Below are 25,702 nucleotides of genomic sequence, written 5' to 3' on the forward strand. Positions count from 1 at the left end.
AGAAGGTCCCTTCTGAAATAAAGAGAACCATCCTTCCTTAAGAAGTGGAATCCAGAGAAGGGAGGGAGCACAAAAATTTGAGCCTCAGAGGCTCAAGAGAACCCAGTTATTTGCGTTTGCAGCTCCTCACCCCTGGGCGTGATTCCTGTATGTGGAAACGCTTGCCCCTTAGGACGGCCTGTTTGCAAACATGTTTCATCCACATTTTTTTATGGCATCCCTGCAGATTGTAGCCTGGTGTGATGGGGTCTAAAGACCTACATTCACATGTCATATCTACTACTCATTGACTCAGTGACTTTGGATAAGTCACTTAACCTCTCTCTAGATGTCACTCTTCTCAGCTGAATGATGAAGAATTTGAATTAGTTACCTTGAAGTTTAATCGCAGTGCTAACCTTTGTAAGATCTATAGTTGTGTTACAGGTGAGCCATAGAATTAATAGATTAATTTTTTTTTTTAACGGAGTCTTGCTCTTGTCGTCCAGGCTGGAGTGCAATGGCATGATTTCGGCTCACTGCAACCTCTGCCTCCTGGGTTCAAGCGATTCTCTTGCATCAGCCTCCCAAGTAGCTGGGATTATAGGCGTGTGCCACCACGCCCAGCTAGTTTTTGTATTTTTAGTAGAGATGGGGTTTCACCATGTTGGCCAGGCTGGTCTCGAATTCCTGAGAATTTTGGCAGGGTGATCCACCCGCCTCGGCCTCCCAAAGTGCTGGGATTACAGGCGTGAGCCACCGCACCCAGGTGCTTAAATTTTTTAAAACATGGGGTGCTTAGAAAAGAGGTTCTGAGGGCCTCCAGTAAGATGGTTTTATAGTACGGTGTTCTGTCAGATTTTTAACTTCTTTGTATGGAACTCTGGGAGAAGCTCTTTGCCAGTCTGCATTGGTGTTGCCTTTCATATGATTATCTTGTTGCAGCTAATGTGGATTTACTACCTCCCATGTAAAAACCTGGTCTCAAAGAATTCTTACTGGCCCAAAAGGAGAATGATTTGGGGTTAAATCAGATCATCTCCTTTTCTGGTCAGCCATCTGCAAACAGCCCTTTCATTTCATTTGAGATGAAGAAGGTAACTTTTGTATTTGGGAGAGTGTTAGTTAGCTTATTTCCTTTCAGACTTCTCTCTGCACAACCAGGGATGATGTTTCTTCGTTTTTTTTTTTTTTTTTTTTTTGAATCGGAGTCTCGCTCTGTTGCCCAGGCTGAAGTGCAGTGGCGCTGTCTCGGCTCACTGCAAGCTCTACCTCCCGGGTTCACACCATTCTCCTGCCTCAGCCTCCTCAGCCAGGATTACAGGTGCCCACCACCATGCCCGCTAATTTTTTTTTTTTTTGTATTTTTAGTAGAGACGGGGTTTCACCGTGTTAACCAGGATGGTCTTGATCTCCTGACCCCGTGATCCGCCCACCTCAGCCTCCCAAAGTGTTGGGATTACAGGCATGAGCCACCGTGCCTGGCCTCTTCATGTGTTTTAAGGAACAATTTGGGGCTGCGTGCAGTGGCTCATGCCTGTAATCCCAGCACTTCAGGAGGCCGAGGTGGATGGATTGCTTGAGCCTAGGACTTTGAGATCAGCCTGGGCAACATGGCGAAACCCTGTCTCTCTAAAAAATACAAAAATTAGCTGGGTGTGGTGGCACACACCTGTAGTCCCAGCTACTCTGGAGGCTGAGGTGGGAGGATCACTTGAGCCCAGGAGGCGGAGGTTGCAGTGAATCAAAATCATGCCACTGCATTCCAGTCTGGGTGACAAAAACCCTGTCTCACAAAAAAGCCAAACGAAAAACAGAACCACTTGGGTTGATTTAACATTATTTTCACTGTCACTAGTCAGAGATGACATAGATGCAGTGATACTTTGTGAGGTCTTTATTCTGGTCCAAGCCTTTTGGGTCAACCTTTCATCTACACCAGAAGAGAGATTAGAGATGAGAAGTCTGCCTGGGTGACACAGCACAATCAGAATCCCTGAGAGAAAGAGGCAGAAGAAAACAACGACTGTGCCCTAGCTCCTGCAGCCTTTACCTCTGCTACGTCAGTTTCCTTTATCAAAAGAGGAGGGGCATAATCCTCGCTATGCACTTGACATCCTGAGATGAAGGTGCAACGCAAAAAAGTGATGTCTCAAAAGTGTTTTAAAACTGCTCTACGGAGCAAGGCAGCCTCGCCGCTCACAGACCCAGTGATGGAATTCAAGTGATGGCATTCAGCCCCTTCAGGGTTGTGACTGCTTGGGATAATTAAGACTGTCTTCTACCAAAATCTCATTTACAGTGAATGAGAGGAGAGAAAATATCAACCCAGGATGGTTACTCTTTGACTGGCTTCCTGGAAGGAGCTGTTCTGTGGGTCCATGTGTGACCATTTTGGTTTTTTCCTCTCAGAATCCTTCCTTTATTTTCTTTCTTTTTACTTTTTTTTTTTTTTTTTTTTGAGACGGAGTTTCACTCATGTTGCCCAGGCTGGAGTGCAATGGTGCAATCTCGGCTCATGGCAACCTCCACCTCCCGGGTTCAAGCGATTCTCCTGCCTCAGCCTCCTGGGTAGCTGTGATTACAGGCATGTGCCACCACGCCCGGCTAATTTTGTATTTTTAGTAGAGATGGGGTTTCTCCATGTTGGTCAGGCTGGTCTCGAACTCCCAACCTCAGGTGATCCGCCCACCTCAGCCTCCCAAAGTGCTGGGATTACAGACATGAGCCACCGTGCCTGGCCCCCCTTTATTCTTAAAACACATGGCTTTCCTATCTCTTTCTAAAGGATGGTTATGCAAGACAGAATTGCTTGAAAGAACAGTCTGTATGGTTCCTGCCTTAAATTACAGCAGCTGGAGGAGATGAGTTGAGCAAAAAAGCAAGAAGGGCCCATAGAATATGAAGATAACCCAGGGAGTGGGAGGAAGCTGTTAGAATATGAAGGAGAATGAAAACCGAAAGTGGGATCCTGCGGCCAGCCCTTGTGAGGGCCCTGGCAGGTGGAGTGATTATTATCCTTCCAGCAAGGCAGTCAGAGTGGCTGGAGAGCATGAGAGTAAAAATAGCTGCCGTTACATTTCCTACAGACTCACTAGATCCCAAAAATTGCAGTGGCCTTGGAAGCATGTTTGTTCATCCTGGTGTCTTTATAACAGAAGAGAGCAAAGGCCTCCATTCTCTGGGGACAGCCCACAAAGCCCCTGCCTGCTGGGTGGACAGATGGGAGCGCTTGGCATGGGGCCTGCCCTTCATTTGAGGGTGAGAGTGAAAAACCAGAAGCCCTGAAAAATCAAGACCTGCCACCACTTGTAGATGGTAAACCACAATAATCATGTCTCTACAGAGAGCTGGGTTGAAATTATCATCTCCACTCAACCCTTGCACAAGTGAGTACATTGCCCAGTCAGGGGAAGAGAAGAAGCCTAAAGAAGTTACACACAAATGGAGCACCACAACCTCAACGAGTCCTGCATTGTCTTCAAAAATGGCAGGAAAACTTGGCCCCAGAAGCCTGGTGGTCCTGCTGGTTAACATTTCATTCTGCTTCCCCTCTGAGCTCCAGCAAGGTTTCTGGGCCTCTCCTCTCATCACTGGGCTGCTCAGGAAATGCAAATGAGTTTCACTTCAGCAAAACACAGAGAAAGGGCAGTGAACCGTCACAACAAACAGCCCCGGATACCCACAGCCCGACAAAACAGTGACAGGCATGGTTTAGACTGTGTGTTTTCAATAATGGTCCCCTGGGCTCTCACAGGCCGAGAGAGTGAACTTCAAGGTGAAAGCCTTTTATTTTTTTGAAAGGATATCCAAGTTGATGCTTGTCTTGGCAAGGTGTATTTAGAAGTATCATGCTTTCCAGCCTGTGCTGATTTTATTCTTGAAGCATTTTATAAACATCAATTGTGCCGTGAAGCTCCTAGCTAGTAAATTACTAACATTGCTGATTGTACTAGTCAGGTTGGGCTGCAGTGACAATGTCACTTCTGCTCAGCCCGTGGCCAAGACTGGCTCCTGGCCCCACCAGTTGCATGGGGATCAGGACATGTGGGACAGTATGCACTGAATGATTTAAAAAAAAAAAAGTCAACATGGCAGAAATATTTAATTCAAGGGAAAAAAAGGTTCTTGGACCCACAGGATCAGAGGTGAGCAGGCACCAGTCAACACAAGGCCACAGGTCAGCCCTGGGGTAGGTCCCACTTTGGGGACCTTTAAAAATCCTCAAAAACATGGTCCTTGTCACTCAGATTTTCACACCTTTCCTCCCAAAATTGTATTCCAAAACCCGAACATTTCTCCTTCTTCTGAAAGTATTAATGATTCCTGCAGCTTACCTGACCAAAGCATTGTCATTATTATTTCAAGGAAACACATTTTCAACACGTTTATGTCCCAGCTGCTGACTGAGCTGTGGATATAAAATGGTGGCTAAAACAGACCTGGTCCCTCCTTCTAGTCTTGTGGGAGGTAGCAATGACAATCAGTTAGTCAATTGCCCCTTTGACAGTTTTGGTCTCTGTAGGTCTTAAACATCCAAAGCTGGGTGCGTAAGCCTAGACAAGGTGATATGTCCTACTCATTTCAAAGATAATGCTTTAATAACCTTTGGGGTTAGCACCCTTTGATTAGGGCAAGAGTCCTTAATATGAAACTATAAGTCCACCCCAACACACCCAAGCACACTAGGAGGGAGTTAGCAGCAGCAGATTATCCCGTTGAGCGACCCACCTTCAGACTTCTGAGCTCACCCACAACAACAGCACCTGCATCTGCTTTCCCCAGCTGCCGCCAGCATAAGCATACACATGACCCCTTGCTTGACTTACCCTAGTCCTGGCTCTGGCTGCAACAAACAGTTGTTGAGGCCCAGGTCTATAGAAAGATACATGTGGTCCCTGGCCTTGGAGCCTAGGCATCTGAGCCAGGAGTCATGACCCACAGGAAAAGTAGTGACGCAAGGTTGTGCCTGGTGCCCAAGGAAAATCACAGACCAGAGCTGCAGGAGCTCCCTGAGACCTTGAGAGGAACTCACGATGATTGAGATCTAAGTAGTGATTGAGATCTCAGCCTTGGCATAGGGTAGAGCTTCCATAAGCTGTCCGTGCCTGGTCAGCCATTTGCAAACAGCCCTTTCATTTGAGATGAAGAACACAACTTTTAGGGATTATTTCAGTTACATAGAGACAACATAGGAGAGCAGTAATGTGAGCAGAGGGGTTTTAAGGGAGTTCACCTGATACAGGTATAGAGAGGAAGGGGAATAGCGTTTTAGCCAAAGGAAAGAGCAGGAGTACAGACATCTTGGTGAGATGGAAATATCATGGCTTTAGATCTTGATCTGGTCTCTGTGTGATCCTAGCAAGTTATATAACCTCTCTGCACCTTGTTTCCTCATTTGTTAAGTTACCGTCAACTCTGAAATATTGTTGTGCCTTAATGTACAGTATATAGTACAGTGGCCTCACATGGTGGGTGCTCAGTAAACAATAATAAGATTGCTACTGCAAGTGAATTGTGCCATTCCAAGAACAAGGACTGGGCTCTCTGAGCTGGCTTCAGTCCAAGGCCAGCCTTCCACTTTGTACATACAGGCAGTGGCCAGCAAAACAACCCAGCTCCCTGCCTACCTCTGGCACCCTGCTGCACCCAGAACAGAGCCCCTCCTTTGCACACACCCTGCAGAATACCTGCCAAGCATGCGCTCCAGCTCTCCCCAGCCTGTCCCAGTCCTCACCCTCCTTTAGAGTTATACAGCTGGTGGGTGGGGAGCTATGGAGGAATCAGCCCTACCCTAGCCAGATCCAGCCTCCTAGCTGGCCCAGCCTCCTAGCTGGTGACTCAGCCTCCAGGCTCCTGCACAATCTGTCCTCCACACCTGCATCAGGTGAACTTCCTCAAACCTCTGCTCACTTACTGCCTTCCTCGGACACCTCCCCTATAGCGGTTCTAGCCTTGACTGTGTAGCAGAAACCTCTAGGGAGCTTTGAACATGCACAGGTCACATCCCAGACCTGTCAGACTCTGGGGAAAAGACCTGCCTTCCCCCACCCCCATGGATATTCTCTAAAGCTCCTCAGGGGATTGCAGATAGGCAGACAAAGCTGGGAATAATTGCAGTGGGTCCCTTGTGGGGGATTGGACTTGGGGCTGGGGTGAGGAGGCGTGGGGACCAGTTCCACACAGCGAAGTAACTGTCATCTGCAGTATCGCCAACACCTGGGAGCCTATGAGAAATGCAGAGTCACAGGCCCTGCTGATTCAGAATCTACATTTTACCAAAGTCCCCAGTGTTTCCCCGCACTGTCGAGTTTCATTAACACTGGCACCAGCTTTTACTAATTGCTCACGGTGCTCCAAGTGCACAGCCAGGTGTTTTACACACACCATCTCATTTAATCCTCACACCCCTCAGCTATGAGCACCCCCTTTGACAAACAAGGAAAAATCTGCCGTTCCTTCAACAAATCCTTCCTGAGCACCCACGTGCGAGGCTCTGTGCTAGAGACTGAGAATGAAAAACGGGCGCTCCCCTGCTGGGGAAGAGCTCAGAAGCCAATGGGATGTGGATTTCAATGTCTTCCCAGCTGTGTGTTCCTGGGCGACTTTCTCAGCCTCTCTGAGCTCGTTTCCTTTTCCTCTTCCGCCGAACAGGGCTAAAAATCACACCGCACAGGGCTTGGTGCCTTCCCTAAGCTAAGTACTCACTCACCAGGCCTGGTTCTAGCGGGAGCTCAGGAATGGTCGCTATTGTGACAAATAGAAAACCCGCCAGGAGACAGAGAGGAGGTGGGTCCCTGGACCGCGGTGGCACATGAGGGCTAAGAACCTCCCAGGAGGGGCTGGGCTCGGAGCGCGCTCTCGGAGACGCGGTGATGCGCGGGGCCCGGGCCGTGGACAAGACTGCAGTGTCCTGCACTACCTGCCGCCCACTCATCAGGCCGATTCTCCTCACCTTACGCTTAGATGAGTTTCGAGTAAGACCACTGCTGGCATCAAGAGTCTGGGCCCATGATCTCGCCCTTTCGGGCTAGGCGAGGCAGACCCAGGTTGGCTGCGGCCCGCGGTCCCCGCGCAGCCAACACTGGCAGCCAAGCGCGGGGCGCGCGCGCCGGGAGAGTGGAGCGCGGAGGCCCGACGGCGCCCCCTCCCGGCGGGCCCGAGCCACGGCCGCGGGCTCTGGCGGGTGCCGGGGAGGCCACGCGCGACGGCGTCGCAGCCGGAGCCCAGACAGACGCCCCACGCTGCGCGGCCTTCATCCCACGGCTGGGGCGATGGAAAGGTGGTCCCGACACGCGCAGGGGTCTGAGGAATCGGCTTCGGGATTCTGTGGTCTTTGTGGTCCGCAGCCGGCACCACTGCTTCCTGTAATTTAATTTTCTCTCCCGAAAGCGTTGCTAATTAAATCCTTTCTCCGGCGAGCCGTCGCCCCCCGCCCCTGCTAGTCTGTTTATTAAGTACCCGGCACCTGCGAGGGAATTTTTGCCCTCGGCGGCCGGCGGGTCAGGTGGAGGGGCCGCGCTGCCCCTTAGCTGCGCCTCCTGGCTTCCTTCCCCAGGTCTCCTCCCTCTCTTTCCACCTGGAACAAGACAGCAATCCTTGAGGTCTTTGAGCAAACGCAAGAACCGTCCTTCTCCTGCTGCTGGTGACCTCTGCTGCTTGGGGCATCCAATTCATGTCAGTTCCCCTCCCCTGTCTTTCCAGCTGTTCAGTCGTATTCCCACTTCCCACCACCATCTCCCCGCACCGCACGCTGGCCACGTGGAAGGTTTGCGGAATGGGGCCCAGGGGCTTGTGGAAGGTCACGCAGCCCATCCAGGGCACAGTCGGAACTAAAACTGAGCCCTCTTGAAGCTTGGCTTTCAGGGGTCACAAACTCAAAGCCTTCAGGGGCCAGATAGCCAAGGGTAGAGTGTGGGGTGGCTCTGGGTTGGGCAATGGTTGGGGGAGTCTGTGGCAAAGTAAAAGGTATGTGCCCCATTGAGGGCCAGGTGTGTGCAATCCTCGCCAAGTCTAAGAGCGAGTCCAGTGTTCACGGAGGGCAGTGACCCGCCCAGGGTCACGCAGGGATTCAGAACCACTGGGTACTCCGGGTTCACAGTGTGATCTTTCCAGGATGCCACTTACTGACTGAGGACTTGGGAGCAGTCCTGCTCAGTCCTGCACCCCAGCCACCTCAGTCCTTGCCCCTCTGGCCTGCCCTGCCCAGGGTCACCACATCCCGCAGGGCCTCCTTCCCCACAGAGTACCTCACACCTTGGGCACCACTCTCCCCTCCCCTCTACCTAAAATCACCCCTTCAGACAGCTTCTGGCCACATCGCAGCTGTCAATCAGAAAAAGAAGGCAGCCTCATTTCAAGGTATTTGGTGGCAAATACCTCCCAGAATTTGAAACAAAGGGCCTGGGGAGCCAAAATACTATTTTGAAGGACACATTCATGGTAGGGGAATTTCAGGCATCACAAGCCAGCCAGAAAGGGGTATTTGGGGACAGGAAGGCTGGGGAGAAGCCCACACAGAGGACTGCCTCTTTGGAAGGCCTCAGCGCCAGCTCTGCTCCTCTCTGAGTTCCAGGTCAGCCCCCTGGTCCCCTCCTACACAGCTTTTTGGCCTTCCATGGGGGTACCCTCACATACAACCCCACTTCAGTAGCTGTCTGTTGCCCTCTCTGGAGAGTTTTTCCTCTGTCATAGACAGGCTCTGCAGGTGTTTTCCTCCTCACACCCTACTTTCATTTTAGAGTCTTTGGTGGCTCCGTGTCCTGGTCTGCAAGGATGGGGGTAGAAGTGTGCTGGGCTGTGCTTGGCCCTCTGCCAGGGTCTGGTTCCCTCCTGCAGGTACCCCAACACCGCCTGGGAGGACTGCCATCTAGAAAGAGCTTGGGCGTTTTCCCTGACTAGGTATCATCCTTGAGCCTCAGCCCTGACTGTCCTTAGACAGTAACCTCCACTGATGCTCTGCCCTGGAAGAAGTATTTTCATCCAGGGCAATCTGCCCATAATCCTTAGCTGGGAAAGATCTAGGGACCCCCATTTTCCCGGCAAAGTCACCATAAGCAGTTGACTGTTAGCTCTGCAAGGCACAAGCTGAGCCTACTTCCTTTCTCTGTATCCACCCGTGCCTGTTACATAGTAGGTGCTCAATAAACATGTTGAATGAACAGATCAATGAATGAATGAGTAGAAACTTGGCTCCTTGTTAATTTTCAGCAGGGAATGTATTGTGTGTCTGTAATATTCCACAATGGAAAGACAGTCTAGTGCTGTGTTAAATAGACCTTGGAGCAGGCAGCCTGGGTTTGAATCCTGGCTCTGCCACATACTAGCTTCAGGCTTTGGGCAAATTACACAACCTCTCTGTGCCTTTATTTATTTATTTTTTTACCTGGAACGTCAGGGTTATAATAAAACATACCTTGTAGGATTGCTATGAGGAATACATGAGTTAATACAGATAAAGTGTGTACAGGACAAGCACCTGGCATGTAGGGAAGGCTCAGCAAATCTTGGTCATTGTTACCAGCAGTAGAATGACTGTATCAACAATGTTAGTGTCCTACACCATGCTAGGGACAGGGGGAAACTAAAGGATTCCACCATCTCCATTTCTGCTTTCCAAGGGCATGCAGTAGTTAGGAGACAAAACCTACAGGAGAGAGTAAGAGTGACAGAGAGCTGCCAACAGTAGTGGGAGTTTGAAATAGAAGGTTTCCAGGGGGCTGGACCAATTGAAGAAAGGTCCTATGGAGAAGTGCGATGTGGAGGAGGGGCTGGGAGGGGCCTAGGCTAAAGGAGGAGGCATGCTGGGGCCACCAGGTTACAGGATGTGGGGAGGTGCCCACCAGGGTGCAGAGGTCCACGCAGAGAGCTGCCTTGCCAGTCCAGATGGGGCACTGTACATAACAAAAGGTCACTGCTTACATCTCAGGGTTCCAGCCTTTCCAGTTCTATTGTAAGTCCTGGAAGCCATCTTGCTAGGAATGGTGTCCTTCCAATGCCATTTGCTGAGGCTGTGCAGGAAGGCAAGAGTGATGGGGAGCTCCCAGAGACCCCTCTTTGGGCCCAGAGAAGACTAGGAATCTCTGATGTTCCCAGGTGAGCTCTAGCATCTTTGGGCTGATTCTCTGGAAAATGAACTTAACCTTCTACCTTTGATCGCCAACCTGGAGACTTGCGGATCCTTTAGAAAAACTAGACATCAGTTCATGCTTGACTCATCCAAACGGACACCATGAGCTGGTGTGAGTTAGGGTTTTCTAAGAAGTGATCAGAGGAAGGAGGCAGGGTCCATGGGGAGCGTGGCCTGAGGACAAACCTGCAGTTGTGGCTGCAGGTATGTGCTCACATCCCACCATTCCTAAATGCAGACTTGCAATTCCCAGAAACCACCTGGTATCTCTGCCTCTGTATAGTCCCTCCTACCTCCACTCCCACCCACAGCCCTGCTTTTCTGCCTGGCCCCCTCCTATTCATCCTGCATGACCCAGATGTTGCCTTTTCTGGGAAGCCTTCAGGTCCGCCCTGGTAAAGTAAGTGCTCTCCGCCAGGCTTCTGTAGCACCCTGTCCTCCCATCGGCACTTTCATGCCACTGAATCACAACCATCTGCAATTTGTTCTCTTCCTAGTGAGCTCCCTGAGATCAGGTACTGGGTCTCTTTCATCTTTGCATTCCTGGTTCTTGGCATCATGCCTGGCATAGAGTCAGCATCGATGAATGTTTTTGAAGAATGAGTGGAGGAGCTGGGCCAGTACCATGAATAGAGAGGGGAATGAGAGCAGAAGCAGAGGCCAACACCAGGAGCAACTGAGCTACTCCCAGACACCTCCCGCCCCCACCAGCAGGCTCACTGTGGCTGGTGAGCAGGCCCAAGGTTCTGCCTCATCTTTAACGTGTCTCAGATAAGTTAGGAGAAATGCCTCCTCTCTCCCTGCCCATCCTTCCTTTTCTTCCTGGCAGGAGGGGCTGCTTCCCAAGCATCCCCGAGGGCATGCTGAGAGGCAGGGCAGGAGGGAGATGAGGGGGAATCTCATGAGCAATGAGGCCAGTTGGAGGACACTGGGTACAGACAAAAGCCACAGTATTTGGAGGACCAAATGCATGGACAGTAACAAGGACAGTCATCTTCCTAAGGAGAAAGACTGGCTAACAGATGGTCCCTGGGACCTAAGGACTGACTTGTTACAGTGGAGGGGGACCTGGGTTGAAGTCTCCTCAAGTTTGTTGTCTTTCCAAAACTCCTTGGGTTCCTGGAGCTTAGAGTGAGGCAGTTCCTGCCTTGCCTAATCTGACACTAGGGCATGGGTCAAAGCAGAGTGTACCCACTTTCTGGATGGAAAGCATCTCACTCCAGCACATGGGCCTGAGGACCCATGATCTCTATTGGCACTGACAGATGATTCTACCCCTGCTGTGGGAGTCAGAGAGCTGTGCTGTAAAGAATGACTGGCAGATGTCCCTGAACCCCTTCCTCCATGGACGCAGAGTGGTTAGTTAAGAATGACACCATCAACTGCCATCTGACGGGCCAACGACAGAGGCTAGTGCATGAGATGGCCCTGAACCCTAGTGTCACAATCTTTTCCACCCCAATCCTCCTAACAATCACCCCGTTTTCACCTTCAGGGCCATCTTGGGCCCCCTCCCTAGCATTCCTCTACTCATGCTCCATGTCTGTGAAGTGCCTCTGATATCTTTCCCCTCTTTACCATCCCACAACCACTATCCCCACCCGGATCCCGGTTACATCTCACTGAGATATAGTACATGCCTCTTACCAGGTCCCTCAACCTCCAGTTTCTCCCACTTCCAGTCTATCCTCCAAGGCTGCGCTTTCTGAAATCTACCTCTGATCATGCTGCTCTCTTGCTCAGAACTTTCAGTGGTTCCCTATTGCCTGTCAAATGCCCTCCAGGTCCCTTAGCTTGGCATTCAGAGCCCTCTCTGCTTGGGTCCCTACTCTCAGCCTTAACCTCCTCTGCCTCTTTGTGATATCCCTTATACCCCAAGGCCCAGGCCTGTTCTCTGTCCCTGGAAAGCCCTCCCTGTCCCTCTTTGCCTGCTGAAATCTCATCCATCTTTCCAGGCCCCGTATCATGGAAAGGCCCCAGACCTAGCAGCAGAATGTGCTCTCTCCCTCCTCTGAGCACTCCCAGAAACCTCTGCCAGAATGGGAACTCCTCGAAGAGAGAGTGGTCTCATCTGTTTTCTAGCCCCACGATGTGCAAAGTGCAGTCCTGGGTCCAGCATGGGAATAAGAGATGTGGAGTAAGCATGTGAGCGCTAAATCTGCATCATTCAGGCAATATTCATTGAGCACCTACTGTGTGCCTAGCCCCTGCTACGCATCAAGGATATGACAGTGACCAAGGCAAGTGTGGTGCCTGCCCCATGGAGTGTAGGCAGCCCATGTTCTAGAATGTGCTGAGGATTCACCACAGCTCCATTCACCCAGCACCTGCAGCAAAGCTGTTCGCCTGTTGGTGTGTGTTCAGGGAACATACACCACCATGACACTCGGCTAGGCTGAGGGTTCTGCAACAGCTCTTTGCAGTTGTATCCTTCCTCAGTCCAGGCCTTGTGTCTTTAGGATGAATCAGAGGCCTTGCTCATTCGTCTGCTCAGGGCCCACTGCCTGAAAGGCTCAACACCCTCCCAACTGTCCCCAGGGCTGGGAAGCCTGAGACCTCCAGATGTTGCAGGGCCTGAGAGGGCAGGGGGCCTGACTGATCCCTAGGAGAAGCTGGCTCTGTCTGTGGAGGAGCAGCAGAGGGACTCTCTTCACTCTTTTCCTCACCTGTCTTCTGATATGGGGAGGAGAGGGAGAGGAGGAGAAAGAATGGAAGGAGAAGGAGGAAAAGGGAAGTTCCTAGGTAAGATATTCCATCTCTGGTCCCTGTGGGTCCATGGACCCCAGCACTGAAGCCTCTGGTTACCAACCCAGCACTGAAGCCTCTGGTTACCAACCAGAGGTGACACCTATTTAGCACCACACAGCCCAGCCCTGACAAATCACAATGGACTCTGACTGAGGGCTGCAGCAGGGCTGGGGGGCCCCATGCATGTGCCAGGAATGATCACTTTAGTTGCTGGATTGTGGAGTGAATCCAGGGTCCCCAGGGAGGAGCAGGGGCAGAAGGGGTAGGATACTCAGAGAATCTGAGCCATGGTTGTTTACCAACTTTCTTAGTTGTAAGAATTTCTTAGTATTTTCAATACTTATTTTAAATATTTGAATAGCTAGTATGGCTGCATCAGTACAGTCCAGCCCTGCTACCAACAGTGCCCATACAATCATATCAAATCCAATTTAAAACCATATATTTTATTGATGTTCTTCAAGGACAATACAGGGCCATGTGTACAAATGCTACTCAAGTCTCACATCTGGCAACCTCCCCACCGTCATCCCCCATTGACCAGTCTGCAAGCAGCCAACATCCTGTAGGTCTCCCTGTTGCCCTTCCCCAGGATGTCAGGCCTCACCGTGCTGAGCCTTCAGGAGGCTGGAAATAGCAGGGCTGGCTTCTAAGCTTGAGCTCTGGAGCCAGGAAAGAGTCAAGGCCAAAATTGCCCAGATCTTCCCCTCCTCCCTCTCCCTCCCATTGCTTAAGTATGGCCAGAATTGTGGGTGAAAATGCCCCCAGCGACTCCTCCATTGAGGCAGCCTAGGCTTCCCCTCTTCAGCCATCTCTATCACATTCTTTATTTCCAAATGACCTGCCCCACCAACCACCAAGATGGCAGAGTGACCATTTTGCAGGGAGTGTGAATCAGTGCACAGACGGCAGTGACAAGGTGCCCCTGATGGCATGAATCTTGTCATCCTGTTCATCACTGCATTGCCAGTGCCTGGAAGAGGCTGGGAACGTAGTTGGCACTCAATAAATATACGTAGGATGGATGAGTGAAGGAATGAGTATGGGAGGGAGAAATGTGAGCAGGTGGAGCCAATACTACATTAGCTCTCTAGGGGGTGTGAAGGCAGAACCACAGTAAAGTCCTCCCAATCTCTGCTCAAGAACCCAGGCTGTTGCGCAGCTATCAGCGGGTCACTGCAGTTGGCGGTTGGACATTGCAGGGCATGGATTCAGCACTGCTGCCTGCATGGATGTCATATTGGCTTTGGGACCCAGTCAGGAGGGGGCACTTGTGTTGTCCCTACTCCCTTATATGCCCCAGAGGTCTGGTCCTCTAGGTTTCAGAAAACACACAGCAGTGCCTCCACCGGAGTCAGTCAGATGCGCAGGGATGGTCTGGGAATTGCACCCTTATATTCTGGTCATCTCCACTCCTCAGCCTTAGCTCACCACTGCCCCCCATGCCCTGCCACTGACAATGACACTGCTCCATCTCCCTGTCCTCAAATGTCAGTCCCCTCAACCACCCAGGTAGCCCTGTCTCTGCAGAGACTCTCTCTTCAGTGGCTGGGTTGGGTCCTGATTTTCAGACCCCTCCCATGCCCACACTCCCCTCTAGGAAAGCAAATATCTCACAGGCATCTCTGCAGATCTTGCCTCTGGGTCCAGCAATCACAACCAGGACATCAGAACCTTGGGGTTGGAAGGAATGTGTAAGCTCACCTAGAATGACCCTGTACAGAAATCCCTTCCACAGCATGCCTGGCAGACGACTGCCTAGACTCTGCTGGAATACCTCCAGTGATGGGGCACTCACTACCTTCACAGGCAGCCATTCAAACATTGAAGAGTTTCAGCTGCTGGAATGCCCTTTGTATAGGGCATAAATGAACCCAATTGTCCCTCTCACTTCTCCCTTTCCCCTAGGCATTATTCCTATATGTTTCTAACAACACTTCTCACCACCACCCATCTCTCTCTCTCTCTCTCTCACACACACACACACACACACACACACACTTCCATATGGTTATACAGTCGAATATCCCCTTCATTTATCAGTAATTATCTTTCCCTGTCCCTTCTTCCTTGCCTTCCCATCATCTGGCAAAGACCTGGGGGCTGGAGATCAAGTAGAAAGGCTGGAAGAGTTCCAGGGACAGGAAGCATCCAGCCAGGTCCTGGACTGGGCTGGGCCGGCCAGATGGGGCAGGGTGGACAGGGAATAACATTTGGAAAAAGCAGGCCATTGATTGCTGTCTCCCAGAAAAAGGGTCTTGAACCTGGTGGGGGGTGGTGAGGGAGCAGCAAGCTACTAAGTTCTTTTTCCTACAGAGGGGATGCGGACACACACCCACTCTTTCCCAACTCCCCTAGCAGTTGGCAGAGCTGACTTGGCTGCCTCTTACACGTGGTGATTTTAAACATTTGCCAGCCTCTAGGTCCCAGGGAGTCTCATACCAGCAGCAAGAATCCACTCCCCTCTCCCAACATGGGGGCTGAGAGGAAGGGCTCTAGCAGACAGCAGTGATGAATGAGACACGGTGGAGAATGGATGAGCCAGGAAGAGGGGGAAAGCAGGGATCCCAAGGGGACGGAAAGAAAGCAGAGGCAGCCTAACAGCTAGCAGCCACCTGGCTGGCTCGTGAGGAGCCTAGAAATGCCTGGGGGGACATTTTTCCTCCTTGTCATGATCCACCAGCTCACGCTGTTCTCATGGGTGGAAGGTGAGGGGAAGATGCTAGGACCTTACCAGCACAAGGTTGTAGTGAGTCATGGGTGGAGACAAGGCTGCCATGGTTTTATGCTCAGGAGGAGTCAAGACAGAGACAGAGAGATAAATGACGGGAGTGTCTACTACTTATCCTGCTGCTTGGAGCTCTCACTTCCGACATTGAACATGGGGACCAGCAGGCCCAGCAGCCACCTCTTTCCGAAGACCTCTTGTAAGTTCTTGCGCCAGGGCCGGGCCCTCACTGCCACCCCCTTCCGCACCTGGTGGCGGGTCTGCCCGCGGAGGATCAACAGCAGCTGGTGGCAGCAGAAGCCGGCGCAGGCCAGGCCGATGGCGAACCAGAGGTAGAGCATGAGGATGACGAACATTTCAGAACCCAGGACAGCTCCTGCAGGGCACGGGGAGGGGAAACACCAGAGCCGCTTTACACCCAGGCCACCGGCATAACTGCGATCTAGGCAGGCTTTCCACCGGGAGGGAGGGAGATTAATGAGATTGACGCTACATTTTGTAGCAACCTCAGCGCTGCAGCTGCAGTGAGGGAGAGGAAGGAAGAACCAGCTGCCCTAACTTTTTCTTGGCGCGGATGGCACCTGAGGCAAGAGGGGAAGACTGGAGACATGGCAGAGAAGAGAGCTAAGTTTGATGAGCTTAGCAAGGACAGCCCTCAGCTCCTGGGGCAGCACCTGGCCGCTGATAACATTTCTGTAGAGTAGGAGATGCCTGTCTCTCTCTGCTTTCTCCTTTTGGGCTAGAAGCAGGGTGAAGGGGTTTTGCTCAGGAGGAGAGAGGGGTGAGCTGGGGACCCTAAAGAGGGAGCAGGTGCCTGGGCAGCTGTCTAGTCCACAGCACCTTCTCCCTACTGTTCTGGGAACGCTGGTTGAGAGGACTCAGGAAAATGACAGCATGATGGAGATCTGGGAAGAATAAGTCACGAGCTTAGTCTGAAGAGCAGCCCAGAACACCAACGTAGAGAATAATTCAGTCATTAATGTTAACAAGAGGACAGTGTGGCCACCACCGCATTCCACCAGAGCTGGTTCTGTCAATCAAAGCTTGCTAGAAGAGGCCCCCAAGGTCATCAGCCCTGTGTCGTGGGGCAGGATCTCCCCAGAATCCCTCTAAACCAAGCACTTCCTATTACTGGTTTGAAATAACCACTGAGTAAGAGCTCCCACACTCTTCCTCAGAGTTTGGGTGGCTGGTCCATGCTAGGTTTGAATCTCCCAGCTGTGTGGACTGGCACAAGTGTCCCAACCTCTCAGTTGCAGCTCGTTCATCTGTACAATGGGTATAATAACACTAACGATTTCATACAGCTGCATGTTTCAAGAAAATGATGTACAGAGTGGTCAGCATTCCGGTTCACACTCAGAGCGGTGCTCCCAGCAGAGGGTCATTTTACAGAGCAGGAGACTACATCCAAAATGAGTTCAACTCCTGAAACTATCAAGCTTTTTCCTTCTCCTTTTCAGGGCTTAGAGTCCTGGCTGGGCTGCAACTTTGGCAGCTGTGGCAAAGACACTTACCTTGACCTACCCAGCAGCCAGGGCACTGGACCCTGGAGTTAATTCGAAAGTATTCCTTAGCCTTTGGTTCCCTGTAGGGCAACCCTATCACCTCCTCTGGTGGGGGGGGGGCACCTCCTCTAAGGACTCCACCTTACAACCTATTCTGCCCTTGAAAATCTCAACCATATTTTGCCCTTTCCCTAGCCTTCTCTTGCCCCAGCCCACCTCTTCCCAAGTCTCTCCAACCTCCAATTTCCAAAGCCCTGTCAACTGGGCTTTCAACACTTGTCCAGTATGAGCAGTGGTGGACTCAGCAGCCATGGAGGATGTGGATCTGATTTAGATTCTCTCATTAGCAGCCTCCTCTTGTCCTCATCCCTAGGAGCTTGGATAGCTGTATTATTTTTTTTTTTTTTTACAAAGCTGGGGACAGATAGGCCCAGCTGCCATTTACAGCAGCCCCTCCACTGGCACAGGGGCAGCAGTGGGACAGGGCTCACATTGGGCTGTGCCATCCCCTGACCCACTTCTTCCATGTCGGCACAGATTAGCTTGGGCAGCCATGTGGGGGATGGAGGATCCCAGGTCCATGGTGCTCTTTGGCGTGAGGAATGCTGACAGGCAAAGGTGGCCCTCAAGCTGGGATGTGAGAACATCAGAGCTGTCAAGCTTGGGCCTGCCTTGCAACACTGCCCCAGGAACAAGCCTGGGTGGATGGAAGCCATTTCCCACAGGGTTTTTTCCTGGCACTAAATCAAGGCATGAGAAAAAGAACTTGCGGCCTTTTCTTGGCCCCATGCAGCAGCTACAAAAGGCTATTCTGGGGACCTGCTTTCTCTAAAAGTGTTTGAAGTTACCTAGCCTGGCTGCTTCAGCTCCTCTTAACTATTTAATAATAGTTCTGCCTCTTTTTAAAAATCACAGAATTTTCCTAATGAGCCTAAAAGGACACATCAGTCAATCTCCCCTGCCCCTTCCTCCCAACAGGCATCTATAACACCTTTGACAAATAATCACCCAGCATACTTTTTAATACATCCAAGGACAAGTAGCTGCCTCCCTTCCAAAGTGGCTCATTCGAGAAGCAGCTTCAGAGAGGCAGCCCCCAAGAGGCAGTATGGTGGGTGGAAAGAGTATGAGCTTTGGAGGCTAGAAGCCCCAACTCCAAATCTTGGTTTGGAATCGTACCAGCTGTGTGGTGTTGGTGCAACTTAACCTTGCTGAGTCTTTGGTTTCTGAGCCTTAAAAATGGACATGATAATATGGACTTGTCAAGAGGAATGGGTGAAATGTGACATGCATAGTGGGTGGTACATAATAGGTGCTCAATGAACATTAGTCCCCTTTCCCTCTTACTGGACTTTCTGGTAGCACCCATCATGCTGGTGTACTTACCCAAATGCCAAGATACAGGTCAGATGGTGGCATCTCCATTTCCCAGATAAGAATAAGGTTCAGAGAGGTGACACAGCAACCTGTACTGGTCCCACAAAGCCAAAAGAAAGGGTAACTTCTGAAACCTAACTAGCTAGCCGCCTCCCTCTCTGGATCAGCTGAGGGCCTGTGGTTGGCCGCCACCTTCACACTAGAAGACCCCTCCCACTTTTAGCTCTCAAGGCCCAAACTCACAGCCATCCATGCTCTGGTGACAGATCTGACTCAGATCTGTACCACAGTTGGGGACAGCTCAATTTCTTTCTTTCTTTTTTTCTTGAGACAGGGTCTTGCTCTGTAGCCCAGGCTGGATAGAGTGCAGTGGCATGATCATAGCTCACTGCAGCCTCAAACTCTTGGGCTCAAGCAATTCTCTCACCTCAGCCTCCTGAGTAGCTGGGAAAACAGGCACATGCCACTATGCCTGGCTAGTGTATTTATTTATTTTTTATTTTTGTAGCAACGGAGTCTCACCATCTTGCCCAGGCTGATCTTGAACTCAATTTCTATTAAACAACCCATGCTTCTTACTCTTTTCTGTCCACCTGTCCTCCTGTGCAGATGAGAGAGGGTGCTACCAACTGTTCGGATTGAGGGTTGGGGAACAAGAGGAATGGGAAAGGGAAAGCCAAACAGGTGGGGTGTATGTCATGGGAGGGAAAGAAAGGAAGGTCCTCAAGAGGAAAGATGAAAGGTCACAAAAGATGAGATAGGAGAGTTGGAGGTAAGAAGTCTTGCTCGCCTGTTTCCAGTGGATATGGTGAGGAAGTGAAAGACACTGGAACTCATGCTGGCACAGGAGTCTGGGCCCCAAGGTGGGCACTCACTGGCTCTGTTCTCCCATCAGATCAAACCTAGCACATATGGACAGGCCTCAAGCCCAGATTTATCTCAAATCAAACCATTTCAAGGTCTTCCTTCTGGAACCATCCATTTTTACGGTTGGCGAAACTACTTGGAAAAGAAAGTATAAGCAGGCTTGTTGGCTCTCTTCATCCCTCCACCTGCCTGTGCTCACACTCCACCCACTAGCCCACCCACCCACCCTCCCCCGTCCTGGTTATTTTGGTCCCGGCAGCCTCCTGTGCCAGTGCTGGGATCCAGAAGGCCTGAAAGCTGTGAGTTCTGGACCCAGCTCAGCCACCAGCCCTGAAGGCAGCCCCCGTAGCTGGGTCCCCCCTGTATCTCTGTGTTCCCACTGCCAAATGGCATGATAGTTCTATGCCTGGGAAGAACTGGGCTGTAGCCACCACAAAGACTGAAATGATGGCTTCCCCCAGAGTAGAGCAGAATTTTTATGAATGTTCAGCCCAGGCACCTCAAAACAATCTTGGGCTTTCAGAGGAAGTAGCTGCCCTCTGCCTTTCTTTGCTCCTAGAAGGCCAACAGGTGAGGAAGCATGTTCTATTCCCTGAGCCACTGCAGAAGAGCTGTGGATTAAGGACCTGAGAGGCAGACCAGAGACTGCCACTCAGTAGCAGGAAGACACTGGGCAAGCCACTTAGTCCCGTCTGAGTCTCGGTTTCATCATCTGAGAAATGGAGATAGCAATGCTATACATGCACACTCAAGCACGTAGACACTACTGATTGTGGAAGCTAAGCCATTCAGAGTCAAAGGCCAGGGTAGGGAGGAAGTGGAAGGAAACGCAGTAGGAGCCAGTCTCAAGGCCAAATAAAGTGGTAAGAACTGCCACCAGGAGCTGAGTCCTTCTAGGGCCAGGTATCAGGTAGTGGTCCTTGGTGCATACTAGTTAAAGTGCAGTCCTCAGCCAGGCGCAGTGGCTCACATCTGTAAATCCCAGCACTTTGGGAGGCCAAGGTGGGCGGATCACTTTAGGTCAAGAGTTCAAGGCCCGCCTGGCCAACACAGTAAAACACCATCTCTACTAAAAATACAAAAATTAGTGTGGCGTGGTGGCACGCACCTGTAATCCCAGCTACTCGGGAGGTTGAGGCAAGAGAATCACTTGAACCTGGGAGGTAGAGGTTACAGTAAGCAGAGATTGCTTTCACCACTGCGCTTCAGCCTGTGTGATGGAGTGAGACTCTGTCTTAAAAAAAAAAAACAAAAAACCTGCCTCTCCCACCCACGTTCCCTCTGCTCTGAGCCATCAGCAGGCTGGAGAACAGGCTGGTGAGGTCAAACATAATAGGCAGGAGGACAGAGCTTAGCCTCCTGCTGGGCTGGGCTGGCAACAAGTTCAATATTACTGCAATTGGTTGGTGAGACCTCTGGAGAGCAGAGTCCTTGGGTGACATGTAAGCAGAACTGGGGACCAGGCAGAGGAATGTCATAGCATGGTTGTACCTCATGGGGCTACATGGAGGAATGGCCAGCACCTAGTCCTGCCTGGCACAGAGCAGGTGTATTACCTGGATGCCACAACTCTGTGAGCATATGGACAGCATGATGGATGAGAATGATGGGGGCAAGGGGGGATGTTACCAATAAAATACAGCATGTCCGCTTAATTTGCATTTCAGATAGCCAATAGCAAATTTTCTCAGTGTATCTCATACAATATCTGGGACATAATTATACTAAAAAATTATGAGTTGTTTATCTGAAATTTTAATTTAGCGGGACGGTCTGTATTTTTATTTGCTAAATCTGGCAACTTTTGGGGTTGGGGTTTGGGGCCCGGCAACCTTTGGGGTGGGAGGTCTTTGTGTAGAGCCCAACCTGCCCGCCAAGGCCCACTCACCGGAGAAGAACTGGCTGATGGAGGTGGGCAGGAGCGTGAGGAAGGCCAAGGGGTGGGCGAAGGAGATGGAAAGGACAGCGGAGATGTAGGCCACGCCGGCCACCATGGAGTAGAGGCAGGCCAGGGAGGTGTAGAGGCAGAACAGGACGAAGTTGCGCATGTTCCTGCTGCCGATGCAGTTGCCGGTGAAGAAACAGTGATGGTCGTGCCTCAGGGTGACTCTGGCGCACACTCGGCAGAAGTGGGTGCTAGGTGAGGGGCATGGAGTCTTCCTGGCCGAGGCCCCCTGGCAGGCCCCCAGGTCGTCTGGGGAGTTCTGGATGACAAGGACGTAATTGCCCAGGGCGTTGGCCGAGAGGAATAGGAAGAGCGCCCCGTGGAGCAGGGCGGGCGAGAAGAGCCGGGCGGCCGCGGGGTCCTCGCGCATGCTGGGCAGGAAGAGGAAGAGCTGCAGCACGAAGGTCACCAGGGAGATGCACAAGAAGTAGGCGGGGGCCACCACGTTGAGCAGCCGCAGGGCCAGCATCCTCGATTACATTCCTGCGGGGCCCGGGGTGAGAAGAGGACTGACTGACTACGGCGTCCAGGGGGCGCCCTCGCCCGCTCCTCCGTGCCGCGCGTCTGGGGCACTGCACGCGACTCCACGCCCCCAACCCCCTGTCCCGCGGATTTCCCCTCCCCAGTTCCCTAACCCCGGATCAGGCAGGCCAGAGACCCGAGCCCGCAGCGGCCTCGGGTCTAGGCCCCACCTGGGGGTGAGTGTTGCCTGGGGTTTTGAGCGAGCTCGGCGCCTTGGCGCGGCAGAGTCTGGCACAGGAGGGAGGGACTCGTTTGCAGTCTTTAGGAGTTGTGAGGGTGGGGGGCACCGGGGGATAGGACTCCTCCCCTCTGTGGATGTGGAAACAAGCCCAGGTTTGGGATTTCTGGTTCAGACCTCCCTAGGAGGAGAAAGGGAAGGATTTGGGGTCGGGGGCAGGAGAATCAGCGGCACTTGACCTGCTGGAAATCCTGCTTCACACTCCCCTTTCTCCGTCCCTGCGTCCCCACCCACACACACATCTTGGGCAGCACTCAGGGACCTCACCAGGTTACCCAAGGCTCTTTGGAGGTATGTGTGCGTGAGGGACCACGATGTGTGTGTGTGTGTCCTTGTCTGTGACTCTGTACGTGTAATCTGTGTGCGCTTGAGTATCTGTATTTGTGTATGTATATATCTGCGTGTACAGACACGCAGCCTCTGCTATCTAGCTTTAAAAAAATCAATTGAAACAATCGATACACTCACACTCGCTCTCGGGCACCGGGTGAGGTGGGGGCGCAACCAGAATACCTGTGTCAGCGGGTCCTGGCCAGCACATCTCTCCAACGCTGGCTGCCCGGGCTATTTCTTTGCGAAGAGCGTTTTCATTTGAGGCGAAATTAAAATCCCCCCTTCGCGCCCGCCTCCCGCCCTCCTGCTGAGAGAAACCCAAACAACCCTCATGGCGCCGAAATCCTTTCCATGCCGACAAGCCCGCCCTGGGCGCACGAGTGGATGCTTGGCCAGCCTTTCCTGGGATCGACCCCGCCGCCGTGCTCAGCCCTCACCACGTCCCCATCCCACCCCACGCCTCACAGCCGGGGTTCCTGGCCAGCTTCGGAAGCCACCGAGAAATAGGATTCCGTGCGCCCGAGAGAACTTTTCCAGGGGCTAAGGAATCGGCCAGCCGGAGGCGCGAGAAAAGTTCTGGGAAGGCGGTTGCACCTAGGATGGGTGGATGCCACGGGGCCTCCGTCCAGGCTGTCCCGTCCGCACGGGTCGACTGGTCACCTTGGAATCCCCTTTGCAGGTCCCAGCGCCCCCCGGGAACCCGCAGCCTCCGCGGAGAGCGTGGGCCTCTCCCTACCGCTGGGGCGCAGCGCAGTGCACGCCTGAGGGTGGTCGCCGGGGGCTGGGCACGCCCCCAGTCCTGCGCCGCCGGGGGCTGCGGCGGTGCTGCCCACCCCAGAGAGCCCTCGGCCTGGGGCTCCGGCGAAGCAAGTGCCTTCCCGGCGCCGGTCGCCAGGGGGGCGCGGGAGCAGCCAGATGCGCCGCAGCGCTGGGAAGGCGGCGAAGGACAGGGGCTAGGGGAGTGAGGGGCGCTCGGCAGGCAGCCTCAGCCCTGGCCCTGCGCGGGAGAAGGGACAGCAGAGACCGCCCGTGGGGCCCCGGGGTGTAGGGAGCTGTCCGTTCAGCCCTGGCGCCCGCCTCGCCCGCGGCAGAGGGCGGCACAGCCGGAGCCTTGGAAAGACCGGCAGCGCCGGCAGCCGCGGGCTTCTCGGCCACTGCCTCCCGGACGCACGGGAAGCCGCCCCCCGCGCCGCCGCCGCCGCACTGCCGCCGTCGCAGAGGGGTGAGGAAATCAACTCACCGAGCTCTGGTCGCCGACAAGAGGAGCCCCGGACGCCGGCTCTCGCCCTGCCCGAGGCTGCAAAGTTGTGGACTCGGCCCGGCTGGCTCGCAGCCTGCGCTTCGCTTCGGGAACTGGGCAAGTAGCGGGGATGTGGGGAGGAGGGAGCGGGCAGCTGCTGGCTTCCCACTTGGGCGCCAGCGAGTAAGGGCCAGGAAGCGGCGGGGATGGCAGCTGGGCACCCCCCAGCCCCGCCACCCCTCCCTCCGCTCCTGGGGGCGGTGCTCTGGCCGCCAGTCTCAGCATCGTGGACTTGCCCCCTCCTCCCCTCTCGATTCCCCTTGAGCGGGCTGGGGCGCCCTGCCTGGTTTCAGCGCCCGTTCCAGCTGGGAGATTGGGATTCAGCCCTGATGTGGATTCTCCAGCCATCATCCTGCCCTTCCCTCTCGGCTAGGTCCCACGACCTTCCCTGCTCTCCACTCGGACTGAAGGAACCCTGGGGGCTTGAGAGGTCAGCTTGCCAGGGCAACACCCATGAAGATCAGCGTCATCTCCTCGGAAGGGCTGTGTACAGAGGGTTGGGAGTTGGGACTCTGGAGCCTGTCTACCTGGGTTTGAATATTCACCATTCACTACTGTGAGATCTCAGATTCCAGTTTCTTCGTCTGTAAATTCCAGTGTGATCTTAGATTCCAGTTTCCTCATCTGTGAAATAGAGATATGAGGGTTAAATGACAATCTATGTAAAACCCTTAAACAGGGCCTGCCCAGGGCAAGCACTGCTTGATTAGATCATAATTAGACACTACTTATCGGGCCCCTACTAGGTAGCAGGCATTGTGCTAAGCCTTTAGCATAAGATGCTTCCTTAATCCTCTCAGCCTGATCTGTGAAGCTGGCTGAGCCCCATTCTGGAGATGAGGAGGTTGAAGCTCAGAGAAGCTAAGTCTCATGTCTAAGGTCATACAGCCATTAAGTGACAGAGCCTGGACTTGAACCTGGTTCTAGCATTAATGCTCCTGCACTCAGCCTCTACACAGCCCAGCATCACCCTGGGACCCACGGGCAGCTCTGATTTGAGAGAAGGAAAGACAATGGGAGTTTATCCAGACACAGAGCTTGAACTTGGAGCTTCTTCTTTGAGCCTCACCCCCACCTTCTTATTTCTATTTCCTTCCCCTTCCAGGGCTCCGCTATTCTAAGGTGGGTACTGTGATGCGCCAAGAGGGTAGTGACACCAATGTGTATCAAACAGTGGGGGGTGGGGGGAGCAGAGCCTTAAAAACATCAAACACTGCAGGAATATTGGTGCCATCACCATCCTCAATTTCCTGGGTGTCGCAGCTCACCTACCTGCCCTGTTCCTCTCCTCTCGGTGATGGCATACTTAATAAATAAACATTTATTGCTTTCTCAACTGGCTGATTAAAACAAGAGCAATCCCTTGAAATGAGGGCCATATGCTGATCAGCTCAGCCTCTATTCTTGAATAACCACACACTGTTTCCTCTGTAATTTATCAGCATACATCAAAATAAAAAAGAGGCCAGGAAACCTTTTCACATTCTAAAAGGATCTGACATGTAAGTGAAAGAACAGTATATGCCACATGGTGGCCGTGAGCAGCTGGTAGCCTTGTGAGTTCCAGTGGCCACAGGACAGACATGGGGAGGCACACATGGCCCTTTTCCCTTCAGAGCAGCTTTGTCTCATAATCGTGGCCGTCTGGGCCCCTTTTCACAAGCTCTGTCTGCCTCTCACATGGGCTTGGCAGGGAGGGAGGCTGGCTGGGGTGCTTGGGTTTGGGTATACTGACTGAAGATCTCCATTCCCCAAATACCTTGTGAGTCGGGTGGTATTTCTAATTTTATTTTGCATATGGGTGTGAGGTGGGAAGGTGTGTGTCTGAATCTGTGTGTATGAGGAAAGGGAAAGAGAGAAAGAAGCTAAGCGAACGTGGGAAGATGTTAGTGGGGGAAGGGAGTATTCAGTCAGGAAAAGGAGATCTGGTCGTGGAAACACAAATGGACAAGGACGATTATTTATTTAGAAATATCGTTTATCAACAGAAAAGGACATTACAGCTTCAGATCTAAAGCTAGTGGTTCC

At 52.5% G+C, this 25,702-nt stretch overlaps 1 protein-coding gene across 3 annotated transcripts, besides 10 other annotated features; it reads right to left on the bottom strand.

Moving 5' to 3' along the window:
- Nucleotides 2,865-3,064: an enhancer, noted in NCBI's record as "active region_8792". NCBI's record gives its function as "activates an Ori minimal core promoter by ATAC-STARR-seq in GM12878 lymphoblastoid cells {active_cell/tissue: GM12878}" and the evidence as "EXISTENCE:reporter gene assay evidence [ECO:0000049][PMID:35858748]".
- Nucleotides 3,075-3,134: an enhancer, noted in NCBI's record as "active region_8793". NCBI's record gives its function as "activates an Ori minimal core promoter by ATAC-STARR-seq in GM12878 lymphoblastoid cells {active_cell/tissue: GM12878}" and the evidence as "EXISTENCE:reporter gene assay evidence [ECO:0000049][PMID:35858748]".
- Nucleotides 3,145-3,374: an enhancer, noted in NCBI's record as "active region_8794". NCBI's record gives its function as "activates an Ori minimal core promoter by ATAC-STARR-seq in GM12878 lymphoblastoid cells {active_cell/tissue: GM12878}" and the evidence as "EXISTENCE:reporter gene assay evidence [ECO:0000049][PMID:35858748]".
- Nucleotides 3,755-3,934: an enhancer, noted in NCBI's record as "active region_8795". NCBI's record gives its function as "activates an Ori minimal core promoter by ATAC-STARR-seq in GM12878 lymphoblastoid cells {active_cell/tissue: GM12878}" and the evidence as "EXISTENCE:reporter gene assay evidence [ECO:0000049][PMID:35858748]".
- Nucleotides 7,022-7,251: a silencer, noted in NCBI's record as "silent region_5967". NCBI's record gives its function as "represses an Ori minimal core promoter by ATAC-STARR-seq in GM12878 lymphoblastoid cells {active_cell/tissue: GM12878}" and the evidence as "EXISTENCE:reporter gene assay evidence [ECO:0000049][PMID:35858748]".
- Nucleotides 13,282-24,300, bottom strand: ZDHHC22 (zDHHC palmitoyltransferase 22). 3 transcript variants are annotated; one of them, XM_011536661.3, is made up of 3 exons: nt 24,220-24,300; nt 21,225-21,764; nt 13,282-15,960 (listed from the first exon to the last, which is right to left on the bottom strand). In XM_011536661.3, exons 2-3 carry the CDS (start codon nt 21,748-21,750, stop codon nt 15,695-15,697), a joined length of 792 nt encoding a protein of 263 aa, XP_011534963.1. In that variant the 5' UTR covers nt 21,751-21,764; nt 24,220-24,300; the 3' UTR covers nt 13,282-15,694. The 3 variants fall into 3 exon arrangements, with proteins under 3 accessions (XP_011534963.1, NP_777636.2, NP_001351101.1); NM_174976.2 differs by lacking the exon at nt 24,220-24,300 and adding an exon at nt 23,615-23,803; NM_001364172.1 differs by lacking the exon at nt 24,220-24,300 and adding an exon at nt 22,555-22,756.
- Nucleotides 15,800-16,299: an enhancer, noted in NCBI's record as "H3K4me1 hESC enhancer chr14:77600131-77600630 (GRCh37/hg19 assembly coordinates)". NCBI's record gives its function as "activates a minimal SCP1, AML or CMV promoter by ChIP-STARR-seq in naive and primed H9 embryonic stem cells {active_cell/tissue: H9 hESC(naive and primed)}" and the evidence as "EXISTENCE:reporter gene assay evidence [ECO:0000049][PMID:30033119]".
- Nucleotides 21,507-22,056: an enhancer, noted in NCBI's record as "H3K27ac-H3K4me1 hESC enhancer chr14:77605838-77606387 (GRCh37/hg19 assembly coordinates)". NCBI's record gives its function as "activates a minimal SCP1, AML or CMV promoter by ChIP-STARR-seq in primed H9 embryonic stem cells {active_cell/tissue: H9 hESC(primed)}" and the evidence as "EXISTENCE:reporter gene assay evidence [ECO:0000049][PMID:30033119]".
- Nucleotides 22,194-22,757: an enhancer, noted in NCBI's record as "H3K4me1 hESC enhancer chr14:77606525-77607088 (GRCh37/hg19 assembly coordinates)". NCBI's record gives its function as "activates a minimal SCP1, AML or CMV promoter by ChIP-STARR-seq in naive and primed H9 embryonic stem cells {active_cell/tissue: H9 hESC(naive and primed)}" and the evidence as "EXISTENCE:reporter gene assay evidence [ECO:0000049][PMID:30033119]".
- Nucleotides 22,758-23,321: an enhancer, noted in NCBI's record as "H3K4me1 hESC enhancer chr14:77607089-77607652 (GRCh37/hg19 assembly coordinates)". NCBI's record gives its function as "activates a minimal SCP1, AML or CMV promoter by ChIP-STARR-seq in naive H9 embryonic stem cells {active_cell/tissue: H9 hESC(naive)}" and the evidence as "EXISTENCE:reporter gene assay evidence [ECO:0000049][PMID:30033119]".
- Nucleotides 23,416-23,917: an enhancer, noted in NCBI's record as "H3K4me1 hESC enhancer chr14:77607747-77608248 (GRCh37/hg19 assembly coordinates)". NCBI's record gives its function as "activates a minimal SCP1, AML or CMV promoter by ChIP-STARR-seq in naive H9 embryonic stem cells {active_cell/tissue: H9 hESC(naive)}" and the evidence as "EXISTENCE:reporter gene assay evidence [ECO:0000049][PMID:30033119]".
- Nucleotides 24,301-25,702: the final 1,402 nt, after the last annotated feature.

This window comes from Homo sapiens, chromosome 14 (assembly GCF_000001405.40).
Source record: "Homo sapiens chromosome 14, GRCh38.p14 Primary Assembly".
Lineage (NCBI taxonomy): Eukaryota > Metazoa > Chordata > Mammalia > Primates > Hominidae > Homo > Homo sapiens.